The 2,449-nt window shown below is 41.4% G+C and overlaps 1 pseudogene across 1 annotated transcript; it reads left to right on the forward strand.

Moving 5' to 3' along the window:
* Positions 1–1,178: 1,178 nt before the first annotated feature.
* On the forward strand, positions 1,179–2,117 carry OR1D4 (olfactory receptor family 1 subfamily D member 4; annotated as a pseudogene). Its single transcript, NR_145519.1, has one exon. The product of NR_145519.1 is annotated as an olfactory receptor family 1 subfamily D member 4, transcript variant 2 (transcript).
* Positions 2,118–2,449: the final 332 nt, after the last annotated feature.

Below are 2,449 nucleotides of genomic sequence, written 5' to 3' on the forward strand. Positions count from 1 at the left end.
TTAAACTAGCTCTTGTTTCTTTAAAACCCTGTTACAATTTTGACTTTCAAATAGGTTAAATTTTAGAACAACTCAGAATATGCACCTTTGCAACATCTCATCTTTTTTATCTAGAATCTTGGTTATATCTGTCCATTTAATAAATTTTTACTTTATGCCTCAATAGAGAATTTGAAGACCATACCTGATTCTTATTAATATCTTAATGCATAGATTGTTTGCTGATAATGTGTTTCATATTTTAATCTTAGTATTCTTATCATTCATATATAATAACAGGTACTATTTATTGAGTGCTCTCCACATGTCAGCTCTTTGTGTTAAGTACTTTATTCCTTAATTTTCTCCTCACCCCAACCCATTTTTCACATTTAAAAAACCTGAGTCTTAAAGAACACAAGTGACCTGCCTGAGGCATTACAGCCAAGAAGAGGCAGTGCTTTGACTTGAATTTAAGAGTTCGGGATCAATAGATGCCCAAACGTCAGCATCTCTCAATATATCCTTGTAACAAATCTGCACATGCACCCCCAAATCTAAAATTAAAATTAAAAAAAAAAAAAAAAAGAGTTCCCACAGGACGGTCTTTAGCACTGCACTACGTGGCTTACGGGGACCATGAAAGCTGAGAGCCTGTTCATTTTGTCATGGGTCACTTCACTGACTAATCACAGACATCTTTTTTTTCTAATGATGTTTCCACTCATTTTCTTAGATTTCCCAGAGAGATCATTATATCAACAAGTAATAATAATTCTTCTTTCTCCTTTCCAATATTTTATTTCTCCACTTCCTCCAATTGGACAATAATCTTTTCTTGTAATGCATATACCTGTATTAAATACCACTTAAAACCCTGTATAAAATCATAACATAACACACTAAACTTTAAACACTTCAAGACTATTGGAAGATGGCAGGATTAAAAATAAGGCTTAGACATTGTTTTTATAATATTCATTATGTCAGGTGAGAAGTTGCTGGAATAAATAAGTTGCATACTTTCCATATTCTATTTTTGTGCCTATAATGACCTGTTGCTTTTATTATTTTTAAAGTTTAGTCCAAGATATTTTAATTCTAAGAAAAGAGTTGATTTTGCTTATCTTCGTGTCCTTATTCAAATGAGGGCACTTAATAAACATTTGTTGGTGTTAATGTTACAGAAAGTTGGGGGAATGGATGGAGATAACCAGAGTGAGAACTCACAGTTCCTTCTCCTGGGGATCTCAGAGAGTCCTGAGCAGCAGCAGATCCTGTTTTGGATGTTCCTGTCCATGTACCTGGTCACGGTGCTGGGAAATGTGCTCATCATCCTGGCCATCAGCTCTGATTCCCACCTGCACACCCCCATGTACTTCTTCCTGGCCAACCTCTCCTTCACTGACCTCTTCTTTGTCACCAACACAATCCCCAAGATGCTGGTGAACTTCCAGTCCCAGAACAAAGCCATCTCCTATGCAGGGTGTCTGACACAGCTCTACTTCCTGGTCTCCTTGGTGACCCTGGACAACCTCATCCTGGCCGTGATGGCGTATGATCGCTATGTGGCCATCTGCTGCCCCCTCCACTATGTCACAGCCATGAGCCCTGGGCTCTGTGTCTTGCTCCTCTCCTTGTGTTGGGGGCTGTCTGTTCTCTATGGCCTCCTCCTCACCTTCCTCCTGACCAGGGTGACCTTCTGTGGGCCTTGAGAGATCCACTACCTCTTCTGTGACATGTACATCCTGCTGTGGCTGGCATGTTCCAACACCCACATCATTCACACAGTGTTGATTGCCACTGGCTGCTTCATCTTCCTCACCCCCTTAGGGTTCATGACCACATCCTATGTACGTATTGTCAGAACCATCCTTCAAATGCCCTCAGCCTCTAAGAAATACAAAACCTTCTCTACCTGTGCCTCCCATTTGGGTGTGGTCTCCCTCTTTTATGGGATGCTTGCTATGGTGTACCTGCAGCCCCTCCATACCTACTCCATGAAGGACTCAGTAGCCACAGTGATGTATGCTGTGCTGACACCTATGATGAACCCTTTCATCTACAGGCTGAGGAACAAAGACATGCATGGGGCTCCGGGAAGAGTCCTATGGAGACCCTTTCAGAGGCCTAAATGAAGGTAATTTTGGAAAGGGGATTGAAGTGGAGACCGGAAATATCCTTCTCCACACATAAGGCATTATGCTTTGGGATATGCAACAGTCAGAGTACAGCTCCAGATCAGGATGAGCATATCTACCTGTGGTGAAGAAAAGACACAATGTGTATCCCAGTGCCTCCCAGACCTCACCAGCCTTGGCAATAAATAATGTCATGCTAACACTACTACCAGGATTTTACAGGGTCAAATATTTAAACCTGCTTGATCATAGGCCCACAGTCCTAGGCTTATCTATATATACACAGTCATAGCTTAGGGAGGGCTCTCATGTTTTCTAGCACCCATTCA

The sequence above is a fragment of the Homo sapiens genome, chromosome 17 (genome assembly GCF_000001405.40).
Source record: "Homo sapiens chromosome 17, GRCh38.p14 Primary Assembly".
Taxonomy (NCBI): domain Eukaryota; kingdom Metazoa; phylum Chordata; class Mammalia; order Primates; family Hominidae; genus Homo; species Homo sapiens.